Genomic DNA, 24,919 nt, shown 5'->3' with positions numbered 1-24,919 from the left:
TCCAGCAAGGTCACCACATCCCATTCAACCCCACATACCCAGCCCCCCAGGACAGGGTGTCCTGGTAAAGGAACGGCAGGAGGAATCAGCGCCTGAGAGTGTGAGCCAGGAATGAGTGCACGGAGGGACAAGTGCAGGGATGGAGCTGTCTTTTCCTCGCTGATCTCTGGAAGTGTGGTGTGGGTTTGGATGCCAGTCCTCCGGTTCCTGTGTGGGAAGCATTCTCCCATCTGTGGTTTGTCTTTGCACCTTCCTTGTGGCACGATTCTGCACGCAGAGTATATAAAATCCTTTATGGCTTGAACTCTTCATGTCCCAGTTGAGAAATCATTCTCTCTTTTTTTTTTTTTTTTTTTTTTTTTTGAGATGGAGTCTCACTCTGTTACCCGCTGCACAGGCTGGAGTGCAGTGGCGTGATCTCGGCTCACTGCAGCCTCTGCCTTCTGGGTTCAAGCAATTCTCCTATCTCAGCCTCCCGAGTAGCCAGGACTACAGGTGTGCACCACCACACCTGGCTGATTTTGTATTTTTGGTAGAGATAGGGTTTCACCATGTTGGCCAGGCTGGTCTTGAACTCCTGGGCTCAAGTGACCTGCCTGTCTTGGCCCTCCAAAGTGTTAGGATTACAGGCGTGAGCCACCGCGCCCAACCCTTCTTAACATTTTTGAGTTTTGCTTTTCACGTTTAGATCCCTGATCCACCTCAGGTTTGTTTTTATGCGTGGCGTAAAATAGAGCTGAAACGTTTTCATTGTCCGTACAGACAGGCTATGACTCCAGCCCTATTTCTCAAAGTAACTGCCCTTTCTACACCAAATGACATGGAAAAGCCACAGCCACTGTCTGGCGAGGAACCTGGTGTGCTCTCCCTCACCTCCTCCGCTGGCCAACTCCTGTTCATTCCTCAGTACCCAGTGGTGTGCTCAGGCCTCCAGGAATGCCCAAGTTTGGTGCCTCCTCTGGGCTCCCACTAGCTCTCTGTTCCCATCTGTCAACAGCAGAAGATAAGTGGACAAGCCATCCAACCCCCTGGGATCAGCCGTCAGAGGCTGGAGCTGTTTCTCTTATAGCTGTGTGACTTTGGGCACATTCCTTGACTCCTCCAAGCTCAGTTTCCTTGTCTACAAAGACAAAACAAAGATTTTAATGTGTGTCATGAAGTTTGAGGCAAATATTAAGTAAAATCATCTTTATAAGCTTTCTGGCCTATCAGGAGGTCTTTAGAAATTATTGTTATTATGGCCCCAGTGCTGCTTGCAGATGTGAGAGCCACCTCTTTCCTTGGCTGCTTCCCCACAAGACTGAGCACTGCCTGGGCATAGGAGCTGGGGCTGCCCCCAGGCCTGCCTGTGGGGCATTTTGTTTGCTGAACTGGGTGTACACAGCCCTGGACGAAGGCGGGAAGAAGGGAGGGTGCCATTATGGCCATCGATGGGGAGAGGAACATCGAGAAGACAGAGCAGCCTCGGGCTTGGCAGAGAAAGGGGGTTCCAGTCTACGTGGCCACCTCGTCCCTTCCAGGCGTTCCTTTCACTGTGGAAAATCAGACCTGGCACCCTCCCAGCTCAAGGTACAAAGCCCTGGCAAGTTCTATGAGGACTTCTCCAGATGGCCCGGGAAGGCCTTGGTTGCATTCTGGCTAAACACTCTCCAGCCACCCTCAGCAGCCCTGAGCTGGGCACAGAGTTGGAAGCAGCTCAGCGCCGTTGCTGGGAACAGGAGTCCTCCCCTCGGCACCACCCTGGCCTCCCCCTAATCCCCGCCTGCCTGTCACCCCACCAGGGACATAGCTGAGCAGGCTCAGCATTGAGATCTCAGCCTTCGATGTCCTCTCTCCAACTAAAAGTCAAAACGGGCAACTTCAAATGTTTAAAAGGCATCAGTTTTCTCAGCAAGGTTTCCCCGGGCCCTCTCGGCGTCCAGCCCTGTGATAAAAGCAGGAGGTGGGAGAGGATGGAGACCCCACCCTGCCCTCCACTCGGGGACAGCGACCCAAGTCCTGGGCCACGACATTATGTGAGAAAGGAGCTGGCGAGGCCGACAGAGCAAGTCAGTCACAGTGTCAGGGCCTCTGGCTCTCCTGTCCAAGGGTCTGTCCTCACCACCGAGAACATTCACGACCAAGCCAGGCCCAGCTCCTGCCCTGCTCCCTCCGGCCAAACCTGGCTCTTCCTGTCAAAGGCAGTCTCTCATTTCGAAGACCCTGAGCTTTGGGGCCAAACTGTCCATTCATTCATTCATTCATTCATTCATTCATCTCTCTGTGCTTCAATGTCCCCATCTGCAAAATGAGCATAACCTCAGCACCCACCCCACAGGAATGCGACGTGGATTTCCTTCATGGGTGAAATCTCAGTTAACCATACTCTCTCTTTTACCCTGCCTATGATTGGAACCTAGGGATGAAGACATCAGGCATACAGGAATGAATATAAAATATCACCTTTATCAAATAAGAAAAAAAAAGGCTGGGTTCAGAACATTTGCAGATGTGTAGCAATGACTTCCTAATGCCACCAGGGTTAGGTCACCGCCCAGCCGCAAGCAGCACAGGCCACGCAACCTCCCCAAGTGGGCTTCCCCAGGCCTGGCGGCTGGAAGGAGCTGACCACGCCCAGAGCTGGGGCAAAGAATGGAGAAGCAGCAGATACTCATGGACAGTGTCCTCCCCGCAGACAACTCCCTCCCCGCCGAAAGGCAGGGCAAGGAGCAGGGCAAGGGCCGTCCAGTGCCCTGGAAGGTTTAGGAAAGGTAAGGAAACCAGGCAGAGGAAGATGCATTCTATGACCACCTTCACCCACATTCCATCCAAACAGTGTCAGGATATCAATAGAGCGCTTAGAACAGTGCTGGGAAGAGAAAGTGCACAAGGACCAATAGCTATCACCATTATTACAACTTGTATTTTCAAGCCCTTGCTATGTGCCCAGCACCAAGCGAGAAGCTGAGGATGCAGAAGTGTGCAGGGCGAGCACGGCCCTGCCCTCCCGAGCCTCAGCCCCTGGCACTCACTCCTGTGTGATGTTGAGTAAATCAGTCACTTTCCCAAATGTGTTTCCTACTCTGTCAAAAACCAGCTACCCTTTAGAGCTGTTGAGAGGATGTCATGAGAAAAAGGTGTTATAACACCTGTCTTCTTCAAGTCATGTTAATCCTGCAACTTTGTTATTTTTCAACATGTTTTAGACACTTTAGGTCCGTTGCACTTTCATATGAATTTTATTTTAGTTTAGTTTAGTTTATTTTTTATTTTATTTTATTTTTTTCTGAGATGGAGTCTTGCTCTGTCACCCAGGCTGGAGTGCAGTGGGGTGATCTTGGCTCACTGCAACCTCTGCCTCCTGGATTCAAGCGATTATCCTGTCTCAGCCTCCTGAGTAGCTGGGATCACAGGTGCACATCACCATGCCTGCATAATTTTTGTATTTTTAGTAGAAATGGGGTTTTACCATGTTGGCCAGGCTGGTCTCAAACCCCTTACCTCAAGTGATCTGCCCGCCTTAGCTTCCCAAAGTGCTGGGATTACAGGTGGGAGCCACCGTGCCTGGCCTCATATGATTGTTAGAACTGATTTATTGATTTTTACAAAAAAAGCCTGCTGATGCTGCGCATGGTGGCTCAGCATAGAAGTTCTCTTCTATTCCTAGTAAGCTGAGAGTTTTTATCAAGCATAGATGTCAGATTTTGTCAAAGCTTTCTTGCATCTACGGAGATGATCAGGTGGTTTTTCATTATTAGTTTGTGAATGTAGTAAATTATATTGATTGCTTTTAAAATGTTAAACCAACCTTGCATTCCTGGGCTAAAAATGCCTTGGTCATAATTTATCATCCTATTTTTATATTATTAGATTCAATTTGATAAAATTTTATTAAAATTTTTGCACTATGTTCTTAAGAGGTATTCGCTTATTTTCTTGTAATGTCTTTGTCAGGTTTATGCATCAGAGTAATGCTGGCCTTACAGAATGAGTTGAGAAATATCCCTTCCTTTTCCATTTTCTAGAAAGCTTGGGTATAATTGGGGTTATTTCCTTCTTAGATTTTTGGTAGAACTTGATAGTGAAACCACCTGGACTTCAATTTTTTTATGGGGAAGTTTTTAACAACAAATTCAATTTCTCTAATAGATGTAGAGCTATTCAGGTTATATTTTTCTTCTTGAGTGATCTTTGGTATTTCATCTTTCAAGAAATTTGTCCATCACAGCTAAGTCGTTGAATTTATTGGCATGGAGTTGTTCAGATTATTTCTATTTTCTTTTCAATATCTATAGGGCCTGTGGTGATGTCATCCCTCTCATTCTTGATTTTGATATTGTTGGGCTTTGCCCAAACAGGATCTCCTACAAAACAGTAATAATATTTCAAGCAGACATGCTCCATTAGCTTTTCCAATAGTTATTTCACTTTCTTCCTGGAATCTCCCAAACATATTCTCACTGTCTTCACCTCTATTTGTACCATCAGGTCCTGCATGGAGTTTTGCCCCATGGGATGGTAGTGCAAGGTAGGGCTAGGTACAACTGTATACAACAGAGGGCAGAATTCAGTGGCTTAAGCAGATGAAAGGTTTACTCTCTCAGGTAAAATAAAAGATATCAGGAGATGGGCAGTCTGGGGCCAGTGTGACAACCCCACACTGTCTGCTTCTCTCTTTCTGCTTCAACATATTTGGTATGTGGTGCCCATCTTCAAAGTCACAATCTGGCTGCCAGAGCTCCAATAACTACATCTGCATCCCAGCCAAGAAGAAGGGAAGGGCAGGGGTCAGGAGGGGTGAGCACCACTTATCTATTCCCTTAGGGAACTTTCCTGGAGTCCGCTCAGGTAAATTCCACTTGCACCCCATGGGTCCCACCCTACAGATTAAACTGCCTGCTTCTGCCTTTAGCCTGGGGCCTCTCCCATGCCACACCATCCCTAATACCTCCTTTTGCCCCTAGCACAACCCCACACCCAATGAAGCCAGGGTACCTTCCATAACTAAGACCCAGAGGATGGTCTTCATTCCTCTGTTCTACAGATGGGGAAACTGAGGCCCAGAGAAAAGGTGTTTGGCCCAAGGTCACTCACAAATTTAGTGGCCAAGCAGGGCAACCACACCAGCCACTCTTCGTAGCCAGAGCTCCTTCCATTGCATTCCTTCTGGTTCTTTGAAGATGACATTTAGGGAGATTGACCAGGTGGACCCAAGACCACCCAGTAAGCAGCTGAATGAGTCGTCTCAGGGTAAGTGTGCCAGGTGCCACTGAGCCCCCTAGAACATGGCTGGGTGTTGTCTTACTTATCACGAGTGATCTCTCATTCACCCCACAGGTTTGCTCCACCCTGACCCAGACCAGAGCAGAGCTGCAGATGGGGTACCCCAAGAAGGTTCCTTTTGTCTTCCTAGAGCAGGGTTTCAGTACCTGACACTGCTGACTCATGTTCCCATCTCCCAGAGTGAGGGATCTCACACACACACGCAAGTGCATGCACAAACACAGACACGCGTGCACACTCTGGAAGAAGCAGGGCTGTGCGATTTTGCATAGAGGCATCTGGTACCTGGGAATGAACGACTCTAATTCCACAGGCACTCACTGAGTGCCTCCTGGGCTTAGACCTCTGGGCCCTTGGAAGCATGAGCGTTGGGGCTGCCCCAACGGCACCACTGACTAGGTGGGAGTTGACAGCCCCTGGGATGGCAGACAATTTGCCCTTCTCCTCAACTGAGATAATACTGGGACAGAAAAGAAGATTTCGAGGCAAATGACACCCCATGCATGGCACATCCCACCCCACCTTCAGATGATCAGAGTCAGAGAGAATGGGAGAAAACATTAGATGAAGCTGCAGCTGCCTCTGTGTCTCCCCGCACCCCTGTCCATTTGACAGGGGCAGCCCAGGAGTCCCCATCACACCTCTGCTGGGCTGGTGCAGCTAGAAGAGGAGAGGCAGCTCCCAGAGGGGCTGTGAGCAGAGAAGGGCCTGTATCGAAGGCCATTCTTTTTTTTTTTTTTTTTGAGACAGAGTCTCACTCTGTCACCCAGGCTGGAGTGCAGTGGTGCGATCTCAACTCACTGCAAGCTCCGCCTCCCGGGTTCACGCCATTCTCCTGCCTCAGCCTCCTGAGTAGCTGGGACTACAGGCACCTGCCACCACACCCGGCTAATTTTTTGTATTTTTAGTAGAGATGGGGTTTCACCGTGTTAGCCAGGATGGTCTTGATTTCCTGACCTCGTGATCCGCCCACCTCGGCCTCCCAAAGTGCTGGGATTACAGGCGTGAGCCACCGCGCCCGGCCCGAAGGCTATTCTTGACCCAGGATGTGGGGACACCCTCTGACATTTCCCAGCCACCCCGCATGGTGAGGGCTCCTTTCTCATTTTGCATAAGGATGGCTAAGGTAAATTGCCTGATATTAGCTGGGGGCATGCGAGACCTGGTACCCAATTGTCCAGGCCAGAGCCCACACTCCCCAAATCCCAGCATCTTCACTGCTGCTTCTCTCTGGGGCAAAGAGAAGCCCAGCAGCTTCCCGCCCTCCCTTCTGCCCTAATGCCCAGCTGCAGCCTGCATGGCCAGAATCAGTTCCTTCTAGGAGTGCCGGCTCAGAGAAAGGTCACTTTCAGAATAGAGAGATTCTAGAATGCGCCTCAGTTCTTGGAAGTCACTTTTTCCTTCTCAGCCAAAAGAGCAAAAGCAGTTGCCCAGGCCCCCGCCCTCTCTTGTCCACGCCAGAAGTTTGTGCCTCGTGCAAACTCGAGAGAAATGGGCACCTCCCAGCCATGGCCTACTGCTGACGTGGCCTCAAGTCCGGGTCACCCCAGGGAGAAATGGGACCTTCCAGAGCTTGTGCAGGAAGAAGCTGGTCATGCCAAAGTGTCAGGCCCTGCCCCGGCCAGAGGGACTGGGCTCTGGCAGGCGTGCCTTTGCCGAGGGACTGGGTTCCGGCAGTCGTGCCTTTGGGGGCTCTCTGAGTGAGGGGCTGGAGGTGGAGCAGGAGAGGCCCTCGGCTGTGCTGGTGACCCTCTCATGCTGTCACTCAGCTCCAGGGGTATGCAGACCCCACAGGGCCCCACCCAAAGCTACCCCACTGGCCCCACTTCACACTCCCTCCCTGAAAGCCAGGAGGTGCCATCCGAGTGCCCACCCTGTGTAGGCAAGGACAGGAAGGGCCTAGCGCAGGTTACTCAGGTGCATGGGCAAGGCCGGGTACCAAGCCAGGTGTGTCTGACCCCAGAGCTGGTGCCTTCTCTCCTGCATGCCCTACCCTCCCCTGAGCCACAGCCTCATGGGGCCAAAGACAGACTTCTTGAAAGGGCATAACATCCAGCCAGTCATCAAGGTCAGGGGACTCAGGACAGCTAAGCTGGAAGGACCCTAGAGCCACGTGGCCTGTGTGCAGGTCTCAGATGAGGATTCAGGGGCCCAGAGAGGACACGACTCCCCCAGCCTCACACGGCAGGTTGAGGAACAGAGTCGGGACACACCTGCTGCCCCCTCCTGAACCCTGGAGACATCAAGCTCCCTACCAGATGACTGTTGCTTCCTCTGCCCCCCTCCCTCTTCTGCTCCCTGGCACTGAAAGAGGGGCAGGAAACTCAGGAGGGCCCTGTCTTGACGTGCCATGATCACCACTAGATACAAATGAATTTTTCAAATAAATTTCTGGATGAATCATTATACCAGGAAACCTTGAAAACTGCCTATTTCTCCTGGAGGCTTCTATCCTCTGTCTGGTCCAACAGCTGCCTGCAGTCTCCTTTCTTGAAAACTTGTAAATAATTCATTTGGCTGATGGGGCTGTTGACAACTATGCCAGTGCCTGCTGCAGCCCCAGCAGCTGGAACCCCAAGTCCAGCGAAGGCCTCTGGCTGTTAAAATCAGCACTGAGTCCTTAGCTCCTCTTTCAAGTCCATTCTCTCCCCAGACACTCATGAACTGGGCAATAGACCATGGCCCTCATGAGGCTCCATCTGCACACCAATCGTTCACTGGGGTTTCAAATCAGCCAGAAGAGATATCTGCAAGAAGCTTGTTCAGGTTACACTGTTACAAGGTTACATTGTTACAACCGTACATCATTGCCAAGGCCACATTGCTCATGAGAAGATGGGTGAAACTCTAACAACCCTCTCTGATGAGTTCTGGGCTGGTGATGGTGTTGTTTTTGTTGTTTTGTTTTTTGTTTTTTGAGACAGGGTCTTGCTCTGTTGCCCAGGCTGGAGTGCAATGGTGCGATCTTGGCTGACTGCAGCTTCAATCTCTTGGACTCAGACTCTTCTGCCTCAGCCTCCTGAGTAGCTGGGTCCACAGGCACACACCACCAAGCCCAGATAATTTTTTTTATTCTTGGTAGAAATGGAGTCTCACTATGTTGCCCAGGCTGGTCTTGAACTCCTGGCCTCAAGCCATCCTCCCACCTTGACCTCCGAAAGTGCTGAGATGACAGGCATGAGCCACTGCACCTAGCCTGGGCTGGGGTGAGGTTTTTCAGGGAATGGTGAAGGGTGAGGGGCTGGAGAATTAGGCTTGTTGATTGGTCAGGTCAGGGAAGGGAGATGAGTCATCAGTATCTGGGACCATGTTCTTGGGCGAGTCAGCTCCTCTGGGGTCCTCAGGACAGCTGGTGTCAGGAGTGTCCTTGGCACGCAGAGCCTGAAGGGGTATCTCAGGGGAAAACACGTTCCCAGTGCTCAGGCTGTCGTCTGCAGAGCAGTCGAGGGGGCGATGCTCTTGTGGCCGGGCCTGCGTGACTCTGGGGCCATAGCAGCAGATGGGCACAAGGTGGTGGGTTGGAGCGTGGCCACCCAGGGACGAGCACAGAGGGCGCCGCACTGAGTTCATTTTTGTTTTCCCCCCTCTATTCTTCCCTGGTTAATTTTATGAAGTTTACAGGGACGGTTTCAGACCCCCAGCGTACAGCTGGGCAGAACTTCCATCTTGTCGTGGGGGAGAGACCACGGACAACCATCTCACTCCCAGGAATGCAGGCGCTCAAAGGAGGGTGTCACAGAGAGGCGTGGAAAGCCTGGCGAGCTCTTCCAATATTTTCAGGCACTTCCCACTTCTTATTGGACTATAACAGACATGAAGAAGTACAGATGTCATCAGAGGACAGCTTGATGGACTTTCACCAAGTGGGCACAGCCCTGAACCAGCCCCATGTCACCCCGCACTGGGGAGGGAACGTTTGAGCGGAGGCTGAGGGCACTGGGAGTGAACTGTGTCAGTGCCTGGGGAACAATATTTGGGCAGAGGGACCAGCCTGCTCCTTGGTCAGGAGCACCCCAACCCCTAGCCCAGCCTCTGCTCCCTGCCCCGCCTCCTGCATGGCCCTCAGGCCATCCCAGGGGTCATATCCCCCTGAAAGCCTTTCCTGACTCACCCGACTCGGGTTGGGTAAGGCACTCCTCTGGGCTCCCACAGCCCTGGCCCTGCCCCTGGTGACACTTGCTGTTCCTCTGTCTCTGTTAGGCTGGGAGCAGCTTGGGAGCAAGGGCAGCATCTGCTCAGGAAATGCTGTGGATGCCAACTGCTCTCGTCATTCTATGGGCCTGCCGCAGGGGCAAAGCCAGGACAGCTGTTCACCGCTGCCCTTCGCTGGACCGTGAGTTCCCAGTGGTCAGCCCGAATCCTCCATGACCATTTCCTCTGAGCCTAGAACAGGACCCAGAACAAATTGGGTGGTAAATAAATAAGTGAAGCCAGGTGCATTGGCTCACACCTGTAATCCCAGCACTTTGGGAGGCCAAGGCGGGAGGATTGCTTGAGCTCAGGATTTCGAGACCAGCCTGGGCAGCATGGTGAAATCCTGTCTCTACAAAAAAATACAAAAATTAGCTGGATATGGTGGCACACGTCTGTAGTCCCAGCTCCTAGGGAGGCTGAGTTAGGACGATCACTTGAGCCCAGGAGGTGGAGGTTACAGTGAGCTGAGATCATGCCACTGCACACCAGTCTGGGTGACAGAGTGACACTCTGTCTCAAGATAATAATAACAAATAAATAAATTGAATGGTGCCCCGCCAAGTGCCCAGTGCACGTGGAGCAGGCATCACTCTGCGGCTCCACACCCTGTCTCCTCCCAACATGCCTGTGTGCTCCACACTGCTGCTGCTCTTACTATGTGGGCCTGAGCTTGGGGGCCTTTGCAGGTAACTGTGTTAAGTACAACATTTTTAGAGAAAGTATCAAAACCGTTCAACTCAGTGAATTCTTATCAAGTGGACACATCCATGTAGCGCTGCCCCCCAACTGGGTCCCAGATCAGAAACTGTAGAACATGACCTCACTCTGAGGTCCCCTGCTACTGCCTCAAAGGATGAGGGCAGCCACCGTTTCACCCTCCATCCCCACAAATGCTTTCGCCTGGCTGGAGCGTTGAGTAAAAGGTAGTGCACGCAGTGGCTCACATCTGTCATCCCAGCACATAGGGAGGCTGAGGCGGGCGGATCACCTGAGGTCAGGAGTGTGAGACCAGCCTGGCCAACATGGTGAAACCCCATCTCTACTAAAAAAAATACAAAAATGAGCTGGGCATGGTGGCGGGCGCCTGTGATCCCAGCTACTCAGGAGGCTGAGGTTGCAGTGAGCCAAGATCGCACCACTGGGCTCGAATATGGGAAGGCAGAGGGTGCAGTGAGCCGAGATCACACCACTGCACTCCAGCCTGAGCAAAAGAACGAGACTTTGTCTCAAAAAAAAAAAAAAAAAAAAAGATCAGAGCCCAGGCCTCGTCCTGTGGGTGCATAGTCTGCTTGGCTTGTTGGCAGTGATATGTGCCAGGTGCCCTGTGCAGAGCTGGCTCTTCCCTGCTCACCTAAGCTTCTGTTGCACGTGTGGAACACGTGTAGTGCCTCCACTCCCTATGGACGGGTGCATGGTGGCTTCCAGTAGGCTGGACCTGTGCTTTGGTGCACATATGTGTATGTTTCAGTTGGGGGTTTCGCCAGGAGTGGGAATGCCTGGGCACAGCGTGGCTGATGCTGCTAGATGGTTTGGGTTCAAACCAAGTGGTTCAAAGCATTGAACCAATCCTTTCCCACCAGCCCCACCCAAGAGTTCTGGCTGCTCCACACAGCACTTGCAGGTATCTGCCGGGAGGGTTTTGGTCACCCTGGTGGGTGTGTAGTGATCTGGCATTGTGGTCTCAATCCTCATTTCCCTGATGGCTGATCAAGATGAGACACCTTTCCATGTTTATTGATGATCTGAATATGCTCTTTTGTGATGTGTCTTTTTAAAAACCTTTATCCATTTTTATGTTTGATCTACTGTTTTCTTATTGAATTGTAGTGATTCTTGATATATTCTAGGTTCCAATTCTTTGTCAGGTCTATGTACTGTTAAAATCTTCTCCTGCTCTTTGACATCTGTTTATTCTCCATGGTGGCTTTTGATGAGCTGACATTTTTCATTCTATTATGGTCTGACTTATCCATTTTCACCTTTATGATTAGACTTTATGTTTCCTGGTTGATATGGTTTGGCTGTGTCCTCATCCAAATCTCACCTTGATTTGTAACTCCCACATTTCCCATATGTCGTGGGAGGATCCCAGTGGGAGGTGATTGAATTATGGGGGCCAGTCTTTCCTGTGCTGTTCTCGTGATAGTGAACGAGTTCATGAGATCTGATGGTTCTAAAAAATGGGAGTTTCTCCACACAAGCTCTCTTTTTGCCTGCTGCCAGCCATGTAAGATGTGACTTGCTCTTCCTTGCCTTCTGCCATGATTGTGAGGTCTCCATAGCCATGTGGAACTGTAAGTCCAATAAACCTCTTTGTTTTGTAAATTGCCCAGTCTCAGGTATTTCTTTATCCTGAAGTCAGGAGTTCGAGACCAGCCTGACCAACATGGTAAAACCCTGTCTCTAAAATGCAAAAATTATCTGGGTGTGGTGGCGGGCACCTGTAATCCCAGCTACTGAGATTACAGTCTGACACAGAAGAATTGGTTGAACCCAGGAGGCGGAGGTTGCAGTGAGCTGAGATTGTGGCACTGCACTCCAGCCCGGGCGAGAGAGTGACACTCTGTCTCAAATAAAATACGTTTATTTACATTTTTAAAGGAGATTTATTTAAGAAACAAAAACACAATGGAACATCTCACAGGCTACTTTACACAATAAAATAGGCAGTAATAACAGACATATTTTTGCAAGCATAGACACTCGGTGATGAGCAGACAAACCACATTCATAAAGAAATTCCTGAGATAACAGCTGTCATTTGAAAACCCATGAAGGACACCCTACGTCTGGTGACGTGATCGATCAGACACTCATGGGTCAGCACTGCACACGCAGCTGCCCAAAGAAACAAGACCTCGAGAAATTTACCTTTCATAAATTCAGGCGTACAAAAAGGACATCTCTTCATTTATTGAGGAAGTTTCGACGATTTTATGTACGCACACACACAACGCTTACACATAAAGTCAATGTTGTGATAATCATTTTCACAGAGTCACATTTGTAAAAAATGCATACAACAAATTAGAACTCTCAACGTCTTTACACAATTTATACCTCCCATACTGGAAATCATGCAAAGATGAAATACATAGAATAACAAAAATAACGTTGATAATTAAAAACAATGGGCCTGGGTGTGGTGGCTCACGCCTGTAATCCCAACACTTTGGGAGGCCGAGGTGGGCGGATCACTTGAGGTCAGGAGTTTGAGACGAGCCTGGCCAACATGGTGAAACCCTGTCTCTACTAAAAATACAAAAATTAGCCAGACATAATGGCGGGTGCCTGTAGCCCCAGCTACTCAGGAGGCTGAGGCAGGAGAATTGCTTGAACCTGGGAGGCAGAGGGTGCAGTGAACCGAGATCGCACCCCCGCACTCCAGCCTGGGTGACAGAGTGAGACTCTGTCTCCACAATAATAATAATTTTAAAAAATGGGAAAACAACAACAACAACAAAAGAAAACTAAAAACTAAAAAGAAAATTCAACATATGACAAAGTGTATTAAAGGGATCTATTGCAGGGATAGATTAGAGCAATTGCACGAGATGGTCCAGAAAGGCTGGCCGACTTTCACGATCATTGACTATCTTTGAAGTCTCTCATCTCAACGAATAGTTGCTTCTTATCCTTTAGGACATGGACTCTCCTAGAATTTCATCAGCTGGAAGAAATGCCGGTGCAGGCAAATAATGCAGTTTTAAATCGAAGTTTTTGTCACTACCATACTGCCTGGCCAATCCACTCATCTGGATGTTTTTTTTTTTTTTGCCAAATGCATTGGGCTGAATGGAAAAAAACAAACATTATTGCTAACACTTGAAATGTGCTTTTAGAAGCCTTGATTGAGCCGAATTCCAAATCTGTCATTATGGTTTAGGGATTCAATTAGATGTTAGGGATTTTAGACTTTAGGGATGTTGATCTTTCAGGATTTTGACATTCCGGATAGTGGCTTTTGGGATTGTGTCTTTTGGGGTAATGACCAGCACCAAGCCAGGATAACCTCCCCATCTCAGATCCAAAATCACTTCTGCAAAGTCTCCGTTCCATGTAAGGTCCTAAGTACAGGTTTTAGAGATTAAGAGGTGGGCATTTTGTGGGGGAGGGGGGACATTATTCTGACTCCCAGTCAGTGAAACTGCAAGTGCAGACCACCACGGAGAAGGGAAGCACCTCCACAACCAACCCCCAGGATTGCAGTGCTCTTAACATTTTCAGGCCTGTCCCTCTGGACGTTTTTCAGACTGTGTGTGTTTTCAGGAACGGGCTCACATACTTCTGTAACTCACTGTTATTAAAGCTCACGGCACTCCGGGCATCTGCCACATCACTAAGCATAGACACTTCCCCCACGCTGCCACGAGGCTGCCTGGGGTTCTGCTGGACCAGATTGGAGTAACCAGTCTCCCACGGGGCCACCAGGCCGTTCCTGACCTTCTGCGCCATGCACAATTACAGGGAGCATGCTCCCGGCCCATCCATGCTCACCCTTCACCTGTGGGACTCTGGTGCCAGCTCATTCCTCAGGACATCTCAGGCCAGCCTCAGTTTCTCTCCATCCTCATTGGGTGATGATGGTCACTGCTGGTCACTGCCATGGGTGCTCAGGCATGGGAGGAGGGGTGTGGAGTAGCAGCGGCCCTGAGGCAGACCCAGGACCTTGGGGAGCCCTGTGCCCCCTCCACCCCACGACTCCCTCCTTGGCCTCCATGTGCTAGAGCCCCAGGGCAGCCCCCCAGCTTCCCCCACCAGCTCCACCCTGCTATTCCATGGGCACCTCACACCCAACACGTCTAAACCAAATGCTTTCTCCCTCCCGGGCCCTCTTCCCCTGACACCCCCTGAGGTCCACGCCTCTCTCTCTGAACACATCCTGGTGTTCTCTTCCCCTCCCACCACTGCAGTTGCCATCGGGGGTCAGCAGAATAATTCCCCTCACCCAAGATATCCCAGTGCAAATCTCCAGGACCTGTGACTATGTTAGGTTGCGTGGCCAAGGGTCAGAGACACCATGCAGGCATGAAGGCAGCTCACCGGCTGACCTTGGAGGGAGGCCACCTGGATTGGCGGGTGGGCCATGTGATCACAGGGGCCTTCAGTGTGGAGGGAGGGCCAGAAGCAGAGCTCCATCGAAGGGGGACATGGCTGCGGAAGGTCAGGGGACACCCCATGGCCGGCTCTGAGATGGAGGAAGGTTCCCTAGCCCAGGAACGCGAGAGGCTTCCAGGAGCTGGAAAAGGCAGGGAACGGATTCTCCCCTGGAGTCTCCAGGAGGACCCAGCCCTGCCGACGCCTAGACTTCAGCCCACAGGACCTGGATAACCAAGTCCAGTGAGAACCGATCACGTGTCTGGACATTCCCACTGCTGAGGTCCTGGTGATTTGTTGTAGCTGCAAACAGAAGCAGGCCACCTCCACTGTGTGGCTCCCCATGTCTACGTCCAGCCCGGATCTCGCTCTGCAGCTGCAGACACAGGTACTCATTCTCCCTATCATCTCCACGGGGATGCCAAATCACTCAAACTCACACTCCACCCCACCTGGCCACCCCCTTGGGTGCCACACCCAGGGAGCCAAAACCTTAAGGCCTGGCTCAGAGTCCCGTGTGCGGCAGAAGCAAGTGAGCGCGTCTGACATCCAGATGGCAACACCGCTGCTCTCGCTTCCCCGTGAGGCCTCGCTCATGGCTCACCCCCGGCTGTGTCCTCCTGCCTGCAGCATGGAGATGGGGTCGCTGGACGCAGCAAACAAGGGCCTCCTCCTGGTGAGAACAGCGACGTGGCGCAGGACTCCAGCGCCGCCCCTCCTGGGTGTGGTGTGGGGCCTGGGCAAGGACCTGGGTCTTTCCAAGCCTCAGTTTCCTCATCTGCGAAATGGGGACAAACACACCACTGCCAAGAAAACTGTTGGTCCTGACCAGGCCCCTTCAGGGCCACTGCCCCTCCCCGGCAGCTGGGAGTGCCCCCTGCAAGGGAAAGTTGCCCATGGTCAGTGCTGCCCTGGCTCGGAGTTGGGGCAGGGAGCAACTTCTTAGGAAGCACCTCCAATCGCATGAACAAGAATCCCCATCTCAGCTCTGCTTCTAGGGAACCCGGCCCAAGGCTGCCCACTTCACACAGGGCTGCCCGCAAGCTCCTGCCTGGGCACCTTACACAGCCACTCACTCGCCACTGCCACTCCGGGGCAGCTGGCATCTTACACATGAGGCCGGAGAGGCTCAGAGGGATCAGTGCCACTTTCTGCAGTGGACTCCCTCCCTCCCTCCCACCCCACTCCCTTTTCCCTCCCTCCCTCCGTCCTCAGGGCTGCAAAGGATCTCTTTGGTTCCTTCAAAGCCTCAGCGTTGCACTTGCAATGAATGTCCTGATGTTTTTTGGTTACCAGAGAAGAGTTGCAACTACAAAATCTCCGACGCATCTGTGTTCTCTTTTCCAGTGTCCATAGTAACTCCCAGTGTTACTCTGTCATCTGCTCAAGAGAGGGGTGATGGCTGGGCCCTCTCTGAGTCCTGCCAGCTGCCAGCCCTCCAGGGCAACGGCCGGGATGGTGCATGAGGCTGGGCTGGTCAGTGGCACTGCTGAGAAGAGGAAGGGGCCCCAAAGTAGGCGGCGGGAGGAGGAGGAGGAAGGCAGCCAAGGACACAGAAGAGACATTTGCTCGGACAGCGACGTTCTCCCTCTTCACAGGTGAGCATCTGTAAAGGAAGGGAAGGGTCTCACCCCAAACCCAACAGACCAAAGCCTTGGGATGTATCAGCAAACACGGGGTTGTGTTTGTGTGTCTGTGGGCTCATGGGAGGTGCAGAAGCCAGCACCTCACACTCATGGGGGATCTGCCGCCCAAGGCGCCGCAACCCCATGGCCACAGTCGGTCAGCCAGACCCCGGCCATGAAGGCTGAGGATGGGGTCCCTTCCATCCAGTCCCACGGACACTTCCGAATGTCTGCACCACTCAGAGGTGACTCTGAGCAGACATCAGGTTCAACTCCGCAGCCCAGCAGAGGGGACGAGGTGGCCAGGCCTGGCTGGGGGTCACTTGGGGAGGGGGCTTGGAGACTCCCATGGGCTCCCCAGGCCCAACCAATAACCCACACAACAGACACAACCCATGGCACCCAGACCCACCCTCAGGGCCCGGCAGGCCAACCTCCAGCCGCAGCCCCTGCTAATAACAAGGTCACGTCCTGAAAGTCCCTCCTCACCCTCCCACAGCCATACGAAATTGCCCAGGGGCTGCCTCAGGACCCCACACAGAAACCTGAGCTGTAAAACTTGCCAGATGTGAGGCCAGGTATAGTGTCTCATGCCTGTAATCCCAGCACTCTGGGAGGCCGAGGCAGGCAGATCACCTGAGGTCAGGAGTTCGAGACCAGTCTGGCCAACATGGTGAAACCCCATCTCTACTACAAATACAAAAATTAGCTGGGCATGGTGGTGGGCACCTGTAATCTCAGCTACTCGGGAGGCTGAGGCAGGAGAATCACTTGAACCTGGGAGCTGGAGGTTGCAGTGAGCCAAGATTGCACCGTCACGCTCCAGCCTGGGCAACAAAAGCGAAACTCCATTTCAAAACAAAACAAAACAAAACAAATCAAAGCAAAAACTGCCAGATGTGAGGCCACACCTAAGCTTCCCAGGGGGCCTGGGCTTTCTGGGCTCAAGGCTCTGCCTGCTGCCGGATCTGTCACTGGGGGACGGGGCAGGGGTGAAGGAGCGGGGGCCGGAACACGCTGTGTCTCCTCAAGTTTTTCCTGGACTCCTGTCTGTACATGGAGCGACAGCCCTGCCTCCAGGTGACCAGGGGCAGGACCCAGGATCCCAGCAAGCATGCTTGTTTGAACACTTTTTGGATGCAAGTAACAGAAATGAATTCTGGCTTCAGCCAGGAAAGAAGAAAACAGAAAGAAGGAGAAAGAGGAGAAAGGAAAGGAGGGGAAAGGGGAAAGAAAGGGGAGGGAGATGGCAGGATGGTCCCAGAACCCACAGGCAAGGATGCACGCTGAGCTCCGGAACGCCCAGAGCAGGCGCTGGGGGAGGATGGGAGTGCTTCCCGCACGCAGCCTTCCCTCCCGGGGTTTTCAGCCACATCCCTCTGGGTACAGTGTTACTCAGCAGAATAATTCACTGCCAGGCGATTCTGGGCTTCTAAACTATCAGCCAGCCCCTCAAATAGACTTGTCCTTCTTCGTTCACTTCCCCAATGTGGACACGCCCTGGCCTCGCCTGGTCGGGGGCCCCCATGGTGTGAGCACGTCCTCTGCTGTGCCCACATAGGCCAGGGCTGAGGTGGAGGGAAAGAGCCCCCTGTGCCTGCTCGGAGCCGGCCACACTTCTGCAGGGAACACAGCTCCATCCAGCTGTGGGGGCTGAGCTGGGAAGCCCTGAAAGGTGCCTGCTGGCCTCCAGGCCCAGGCCAGGTGGGAACCTGCTGTGGTCGCAGGCCTCCTTGTCCCTTCAGGCAGCAGCTGACTCCCTGTCCACAGCCAGCTGCGTTCCAGTGGGGAAGCTCCATCCCAGGCCTGTCTGATGACAATTCCACAATTCCACCCACGCTGCCTCCAGGAAGCTCTGCTGATGAGGTTCCCGTGGCCCTGCCTGTTGCAGGCGGCTGACCGAGGGCCAGCAGCCCAGCCAGCCCAGCTCACCAAGCAGCATTTCTCACTTGGAGCACGGCAGAGCTGGAGTTGTTTTTATATTTGTGCCAAGAAATGGCTCCAAGCACTGCAGACGTGGGCTCTGGCGGAGCCTCCAACAGGGCAGGCCACGCGGGGCCAGCAGCCTCCTTCCGCCCAGGGGCTGGCCCAGGAGGTGAGAATTCCACAGAGAAGTGCACACGTAGCACTTGGCCCGCTCCCCCTGGGGCAGAGCCATCACCTCCCAGCCCGAGAGGACCCCAGGCTGAGGGGGGAAGGGGCTGCCCAGGTCACACAGGGACCCTGGAATGCGGCAGAGCCCAGCACCAAAGGTTAAGTGAGGCCAAATCAGCAATGAGCATGGAGTGGTGCCCGGGCTGGAAGGACAGTCACTACCTCCCACCCCAGCAGGCGGCTGAGGGCTTCTTTGTTTTTGGTGGAGTCAGGATCTGGCTAAACAGACTGTTAAAGAAATGCGGAATTCCAGTCCATGCCGTTTTCTGGGTAACAGAGGGTTTAGGAGAAATCCCTTCTGCTCCACTTCTGTTGAAAATATTTCTGCACTCCAAGCGCCCTCAGCAGTGTCAGCAGGGCACAGCCCCTCAGCAGCTTGTGACACCCACGTGCCCTGGTCTCAAGGAGGTCCCCAGACATTGCACTGAGCACCAGGTCTCCTTGTGAATGTCCCCATGAGAGCAGGGAGTGCCCCTTCTCTAGCTGGTGTCCCATGTCCTCATCAGGAGCACATACTCAGGGCCACACAGCCCTCGTCCCCAACTATGGTGCTGTGATTTGCTGTGTGTATTCGTCCATTTTCACACTGCTGTGAAGAAATACCCAAGGCTGGATAATTTATAAAGCAAAGATGTTTACTTGACTCACAGTTCCACATGGTTGGGGAGTCCTCAGGAAACTTACAATCATGGTGGAAGGGGAAGCAGGCACATCTCACATGGTGGCAGGAGACAGAAGTGCAAGAAGGAGGAAGAGCCCCTTACAAAACCATCAAACCTCATGAGAACTCCCTCACTATCACCAGAACAGCATGGGGGAAACCGCCCCTGTGATCCAATCACCTCCCACCAGGTTCTTCCCTCAACACCTGCAGATTACAATTCAAGATGACATTTGGGTGGGGACACAGAGCCCAACCATATCAGTGGCCTTGAGCAAGTGTCTCAGCCTCTCTGTCTCTGCTTCCTCATCTGAATGAGAGGGTGACAGTGAGGACTCCCATCTCTTAGGGTTGCATGGGCATGAAACAGTGCAGCTAGTGCAGCGGAGGGCAGGCACATTTGCTGCTCCCCTTCCCCCACAGGGCGTGACTCATGCCCCCCACACCGGCTGCCTGTCCAGGGCCACGGAGGAACCCTGGGGATCTCCATCCACCCTACCACGTCTTGCAGACTAGGATGCCCGGGCTGCAGAGGTGCTGGGAGGTCAAGGTGGCAGAGCTGGGGCTGAGTGCTGGCCTCCCAGGGCAGGAGGCTCCTCCTGCACCCTTGAGCCTGGAGCACCCTCCCTGCATCTGGCCTCAGTGCACCTGACTTCCCACAGGCAGAGATGCCACCTCCTCAGGGGCTGCAGCCTCCTGTTCGCAGATGGAAGATGCAGCTCTGAGGGGTGAGGAGTCACAGCCGGAGCAGCACCCGGACAGAAGCCTGCTCCAGCCAGTTTCTGCCACCTCTGTCCTATCTCTCCTTTGAAAGGTGAGGGACAGGGACCTAGAGAGGCTGCCAGGGCCCTCAGTGTAGCACCGCCTCTTCCTGAGAGGTCACGCAGCCAGGAGAAAGGACAGATCAGCTGTTGTTGGTGGAGGGAGTGGGACATGGAGGGGGCATTCCTCTGCGGCTGGGGGCAGCATGCAGGGGAGGGTGGGTAGAGCAGAAGGTGAGTAATGACCAGAATCAGCAGGACCCAGACCAGGAGGCTGGGGGAAGTGGTAGATACAGCAACAGGTACCCTGCGGGGGCCTATTTAGAATCCAGAGAAGTGGCGTTCAGCCCCAGGGAGCTCAGGGACTGGGGTGGTGAGGCAGACGGGGCTGGCACTGGCAGGGCAGGGCTGCCACCATGGAGTGCAGTTTGCAGGTGCAGCCAGGGTGCCTGGGTTGTGACAGGGGCAAGAGCAAGGGTTTGGAGCAGACCCTTGAGACCCCAGGAAGAGCTCTGCCAAGCTTCAGTGCCCTCTTCCCCACAGGGAGGATGAAGGGAACTTCCTCCCGGGTGGAAGAGATGAGCTATTGAAGGTGGATACAGACTTGGCGCAGGTCCACACCCAAGGATTGGCAGGACCTGTGCACACTACAGACTCGGCACAGGTCCACACCCAAGGAATGGCAGGAGCTCCGTACACGCTGGGGGTCAGCATGGAGCCCAGGTCTGGACACAATGAGTGGGGCGGGGCAGGAGCTGCTGGCTGAAAAGCTGGAGCTGGCACAGCTCCAGGGGAGGAGGGCAGCAGCGCAGGCCCGGGAGGAAGAGGGAAGGCAGTAAAGCTGGCGCGGGTACCTGGCGGGGAAGGGAGCAGGCACGGGCAGAGGGGATTCCCTGCCTTAGTGAATGGGGGCCATTGCTCAGCCCTGCAGGAGCGCAGGAGACTTAGGTGGGCCATGGGGAAAGCCGAGGAGGTGGGGACATGAGCAGCATGGAAATGGTGCTGAATCTCAGGCTGAGGGGCTTACACCATGCCATGTCCATTCCATGCAGTGCAGACCCCTGATGCAGCCCCTGCCCCGCCCTGAGACCCTCCCAGCAGCCACCACCAAGATGCCCACCAACCTCAGAGGCTCAGAGGCTGGAGGGGGAGCAGGAGAGAGCAGGTGTGGACGGGTGCGGGGACTGCAGAGGGCACCACAGGCTCGGGAGCCTCGGGGGAGACGCTCTGTCCCATAGCTTGGGAGCGAGGCCAGGACAGGCTGAGGTTTGCAAGCCTTGGCACCGAGGTGCGTGTGAGGGCTTGCTGGAGACGAAGCTAGCCAGGAGGATAAGAACAAGAGGGGCTCAGAGCCTTCCGGAACTCCAACATTTAGGAGGGTGAAGGGGAAGCAACCAGGGCACTGAAGAACAGCCAGAGATGCGGGGACATAGGACAGAACTGGGAGCCAGGGCCCAGGCCAAAGCAAGAGAAGAGGAAGCTTCTGGACGGGAATTCTGTTCCCAAGAGAAGCCCTGTGACCACCTGACTCCCGTTGATGGCAGGAACCCTGTGTGGGCATCGGGGTGGAAAGTTCTCTGCACCTTACTGGGTGCTGACTCTTTGCTGTGTTCTCTGAGGTATGTGGCCCAGGAGTTCCACCAAACCCTCCATCCGGGTGGCTGCCTGAGATCATTCTGCAGGCTGGGGCCACAACAGAGGCCACCTCTGGGACCGAGTGCTGTGTCCCTTGCTGGTGGGTGCATGGCCCTGTGCACACTGTCAGCCCAGTGTCCTCCACACCTGGGTCCGGATTCCCATGTGGGTGATTCTCTTGCTTTAGGCTGCTTCCCCGGGGCAGATGCTTGAGCCGGTCCGACTGCTGCAGCCACGGCCTAGGGTCTGCTGGGATAGAGTGCCACCCTTTCCGGGGCTGTAGGGGACAGCTTGCCTTGCAAGGTGAATGGAGTAGACCCTCAAGGGTGTGTGTGCAGAGCGGGAGAACACCCCTAAATGCGGCTCCTGCAGCCTGGGGAAGGGGTCGGGTTTCTTTGGCTGAGAATTGTCCAGGAACCCCTGCCAAGTCCAAGTCCTCCCTCTACAGATAATGAAGCAGAGACCCAGTGGGAAAGCAGCCCAGGGTCACAGCCAGAAACCAAACCTTGGCCTCTGCCTCTCATGTGGGAGGTGAGGGGTGGGGAACGCCCCCTCAACCCATGACATTACCTCATCCCGATGGTATTCAAGCCTGTGCTGAGTCTGTGTGTGCCTGTGTCTGTTGTGTGTTCAAGGGTGAAGAAGAAGTGGTCTTGGGCCAATCCAGAGAGTGGTGGGCAGACCCTGTAGTGGCCCATGTTCCCCACCTCCTGGCACTGACACCTTTGATTAATCTCCCCTGAGTGTAAGCGGGATCTGGGAGCTGGGACCTGGGACCTGCGTCTCACCAATAGCATCCACCAAGGCAATGGCACTGCTTCCTTGACAGCCTTGCATAAGATCATAACTGGTTGTGCTGCTGTGTGTGAGCTGGCCCTGGGAGAGGGCCTGTGGCCAGGAAAAATCAACCCCACTTTGCCAAAGAGGAAACTGAGGCACAACAAGTCTCTGGCCAACAGCCAGCAAGGAATCGAATACTGCCAACATCCTGGTGAGTGTGGATGCAGAGCCTGCCCCAGCTGAGCCTCGGCTGAGACCAACGCCCTGGCTGGTACCGTGATTGCAGCCTGATGTGACCGTGAGCAGGGAACCTTGCTAAGCTGCACTCACACTTCAGACCCACTGCACCATGAGCTAAATATGTGTCCTTGAAACCACTAAGTTCGTTGTAGTTTTTTAAGCAGCTGAAGATTAGAAATATTCAGAAGCTTCCTCTCCCTCCACCTGACCCCCTGCTTCATCAGAGGATTGCAGATGTGGTCAACAAACACCAACAGGAAGAAGGCAGGGCAGGGTGTCTATTTCATGGCGGCTGCCTGTCCCGAGGACCATTCCCATGGATGCACTCAGGGCAGTTTCTGGAGTCATTCCTGGCAGAGTATTCTGAAAACACACCCATTAACCTTCAGGGCTGATATCAACAGGAGCCCCCGTTTTATGGGTCAGAACCATTTTGGAGAATGTCACGTTATGACTCACAGAACCAAATTTATTCTCCCTCTTTGAACAAAACAATCAATAGCCCTTCTGTAAAATTCAGCTGCTGCTCAGAGGACCAGTTGTCTGTCTCCTCCTGGGAGAGGAGTTACTTCCCCAGGGACCCGGGAAGAGGCGGGAAGCCAGCTGTCCCCAGAGTGGCACCAGTCTTCTCAACAGAGAGATGTGGGCAGGGGTCAGGACCAAGAGCAACTTCTGGAACCTTCCAGGCAGCCTTCTGGTTTTTGGATGGAGAGGCTGGGGCCCAGAAAGGACAGGGGCTGCTGAGCTCACAGCCGATGGCAGCAGAGCCCTTGAGACTCCAGTCACTGAGGGCCCCAACTGAGCACCTCCCAGCTAGCTCCCCATAAGAAGAAAGAAGGGAAGAAGGGGAAAGGAAAAGGGAAAGGGGCAAAGAGGGAGAGGAAGAGTCCAAAAACATCTCAAATAGCAAAGGAATGTCCCGTCTGCCGGAGCCTGGTGAGAAGGCCCTTGTGTGAAATCGCTAACCCTCACTGAGTTCTCACAGTGGCCAAGTGCCCGCTAAAGCTGTTAGGCTCCAAATGTACTCAACCTTCTCAACAATCCTCTGCCAAGATTATCCTCATCCCCATTTTTCCCAGGAGGAAACTGAGGCACAGGAAGTTGAGTGACTTCCCCAAGGTTGCAAGTTTTTGAGGCAGAGCTGGAATTTGAACCCAGGACATCCGGTCCCAGAGCTCATGCTGCTATTAATAGCAGCAGCCTACATACCATCTCTCAGACTTCGAACTGCAGGGGCCAACTGGGGGTGGGGTCTCTCCTGCCCCACATCCCCCGATGGACCAGGGGTCCCCTCAGGCCACCTGCCAGCTCCACCACAGGCCACCTCCCGCCCTGCACATGCACAAGCCATCACCTCTGCTGTCACTCTATCCCCAGCACATGGAATTGCCGGCCATGCAGTAGGCACTCAATTGGATCCACTGAGCAGTGGCACGACCACCTGCCCCACAGCTGGGGGCCTGGCAGGGCTGCATCCGGGTTTCTGGCCCAGGGCAGAGCTCCCTCATACAGTGCTTCCCAAGCGTTCTCACCCCCACACTGAGGAAGTGGTTCTATCTATGGGTGCTACAGCACAGGGTGGGGGTCCCAGCATCACAGGAAACACACCTGTCTTCCCAGCACCTTGGGAGGCCAAGGAGGGCAGATCCCTTCAGGCCAGGAGTTCAAGAACAGCCTGGTCAACATGGTGAAACCTCCGTCTCTACTAAAAATACAAAATAATTTAGCTGGGCATGTTGGTGCACACCTGTAATCCCAGCTACTCGGGAGGCTGAGGCACAAGGATTGCTTGAACCCAGGAGGTGGAAGTTGTAGTGAATCAAGGTCAACGCCACTGCACTCCAGGCTGGGCAACAGAGTGAGACTCTGCCTCAAAAAAAAAAAAAAAGTAAACAGTGCCTGCCAGACACTTGTGAAAGGTGGCAAGACTGGCTTCATTCAGACCCCTGGAGTGGGGAAGAGGTTCCAGGACACACTGAGCTGAGTCTCAGCTAAGACTAAGGGGACTAGGGCTTTTAATTTATTTTATTTTATTTATTTATTTATTTTTTCCAGAGGGAGTCTCGCTCTGTTGCCCAGGCTGGAGTGCAGTGGCATTATCTTGGCTCACAGCAACCTCTGCCTCCCAGGTTCAACCGATTCTCTCTTATGCCTCAGCCTCCTGAGTAGCTGCGATTATGGGTGCACGTCACTAAGCCCAGCTAATTTTTGCATTTTTAGTAGAGATAGGGTTACACGATATTGGCCAGGCTGGTCTCGAACTCCTGACCTCAGGTGATCCACCCGCCTCAGCCTCCTGAAGTGCAGGGATTATAGGCATGAGCCACCGCACCCAGCTGTTTTTATTTTTTTAGAGACAGAGTCTCACTTCATTGCCCAGGCTGGAACTCCTAGGCTCAAGCAGTCCTCCCTGCCTCAGCCTCCAGAGTAGCTAGGACTACAGGCACATGCCACCACTCCCAGCTAATTTTTAATTTTTTTCATAGAAACAGGGTCTTGCTATGTTGCCC

At 53.4% G+C, this 24,919-nt stretch overlaps 1 protein-coding gene across 7 annotated transcripts in view, besides 3 other annotated features; it reads right to left on the bottom strand.

Moving 5' to 3' along the window:
• Positions 1,508 to 2,009: an enhancer, noted in NCBI's record as "H3K4me1 hESC enhancer chr4:8524675-8525176 (GRCh37/hg19 assembly coordinates)". NCBI's record gives its function as "activates a minimal SCP1, AML or CMV promoter by ChIP-STARR-seq in naive H9 embryonic stem cells {active_cell/tissue: H9 hESC(naive)}" and the evidence as "EXISTENCE:reporter gene assay evidence [ECO:0000049][PMID:30033119]".
• Positions 8,007 to 24,919, bottom strand: part of TRMT44 (tRNA methyltransferase 44 homolog) — a 76,174-nt gene continuing 59,261 nt past the window's right edge. The window contains exons 11-14 of one of the 7 annotated variants that reach the window (XM_047449682.1): positions 15,847 to 16,159; positions 15,158 to 15,331; positions 13,954 to 14,695; positions 12,043 to 13,126 (exon numbers count right to left, since the gene is read on the bottom strand). In XM_047449682.1, the coding sequence (XP_047305638.1) occupies positions 16,146 to 16,159 (14 nt within the window). In that variant the 3' untranslated portion in view covers positions 12,043 to 13,126; positions 13,954 to 14,695; positions 15,158 to 15,331; positions 15,847 to 16,145. Of the gene's footprint in view, positions 9,065 to 9,373; positions 9,646 to 12,042; positions 16,160 to 24,919 lie in introns of those variants that run through there. The other 6 variants (XM_047449685.1, XM_047449680.1, XM_047449683.1 and 3 more) reach the window with 6 other exon arrangements.
• Positions 13,462 to 13,961: an enhancer, noted in NCBI's record as "H3K4me1 hESC enhancer chr4:8512723-8513222 (GRCh37/hg19 assembly coordinates)". NCBI's record gives its function as "activates a minimal SCP1, AML or CMV promoter by ChIP-STARR-seq in primed H9 embryonic stem cells {active_cell/tissue: H9 hESC(primed)}" and the evidence as "EXISTENCE:reporter gene assay evidence [ECO:0000049][PMID:30033119]".
• Positions 19,888 to 20,775: an enhancer, noted in NCBI's record as "H3K4me1 hESC enhancer chr4:8505909-8506796 (GRCh37/hg19 assembly coordinates)". NCBI's record gives its function as "activates a minimal SCP1, AML or CMV promoter by ChIP-STARR-seq in primed H9 embryonic stem cells {active_cell/tissue: H9 hESC(primed)}" and the evidence as "EXISTENCE:reporter gene assay evidence [ECO:0000049][PMID:30033119]".

This window comes from Homo sapiens, chromosome 4 (assembly GCF_000001405.40).
Source record: "Homo sapiens chromosome 4, GRCh38.p14 Primary Assembly".
NCBI classification, from domain to species: Eukaryota; Metazoa; Chordata; class Mammalia; order Primates; family Hominidae; genus Homo; species Homo sapiens.
Note: the sequence above shows the minus strand (reverse complement) of the source record. Positions and strands in the feature narration are given on the sequence as shown.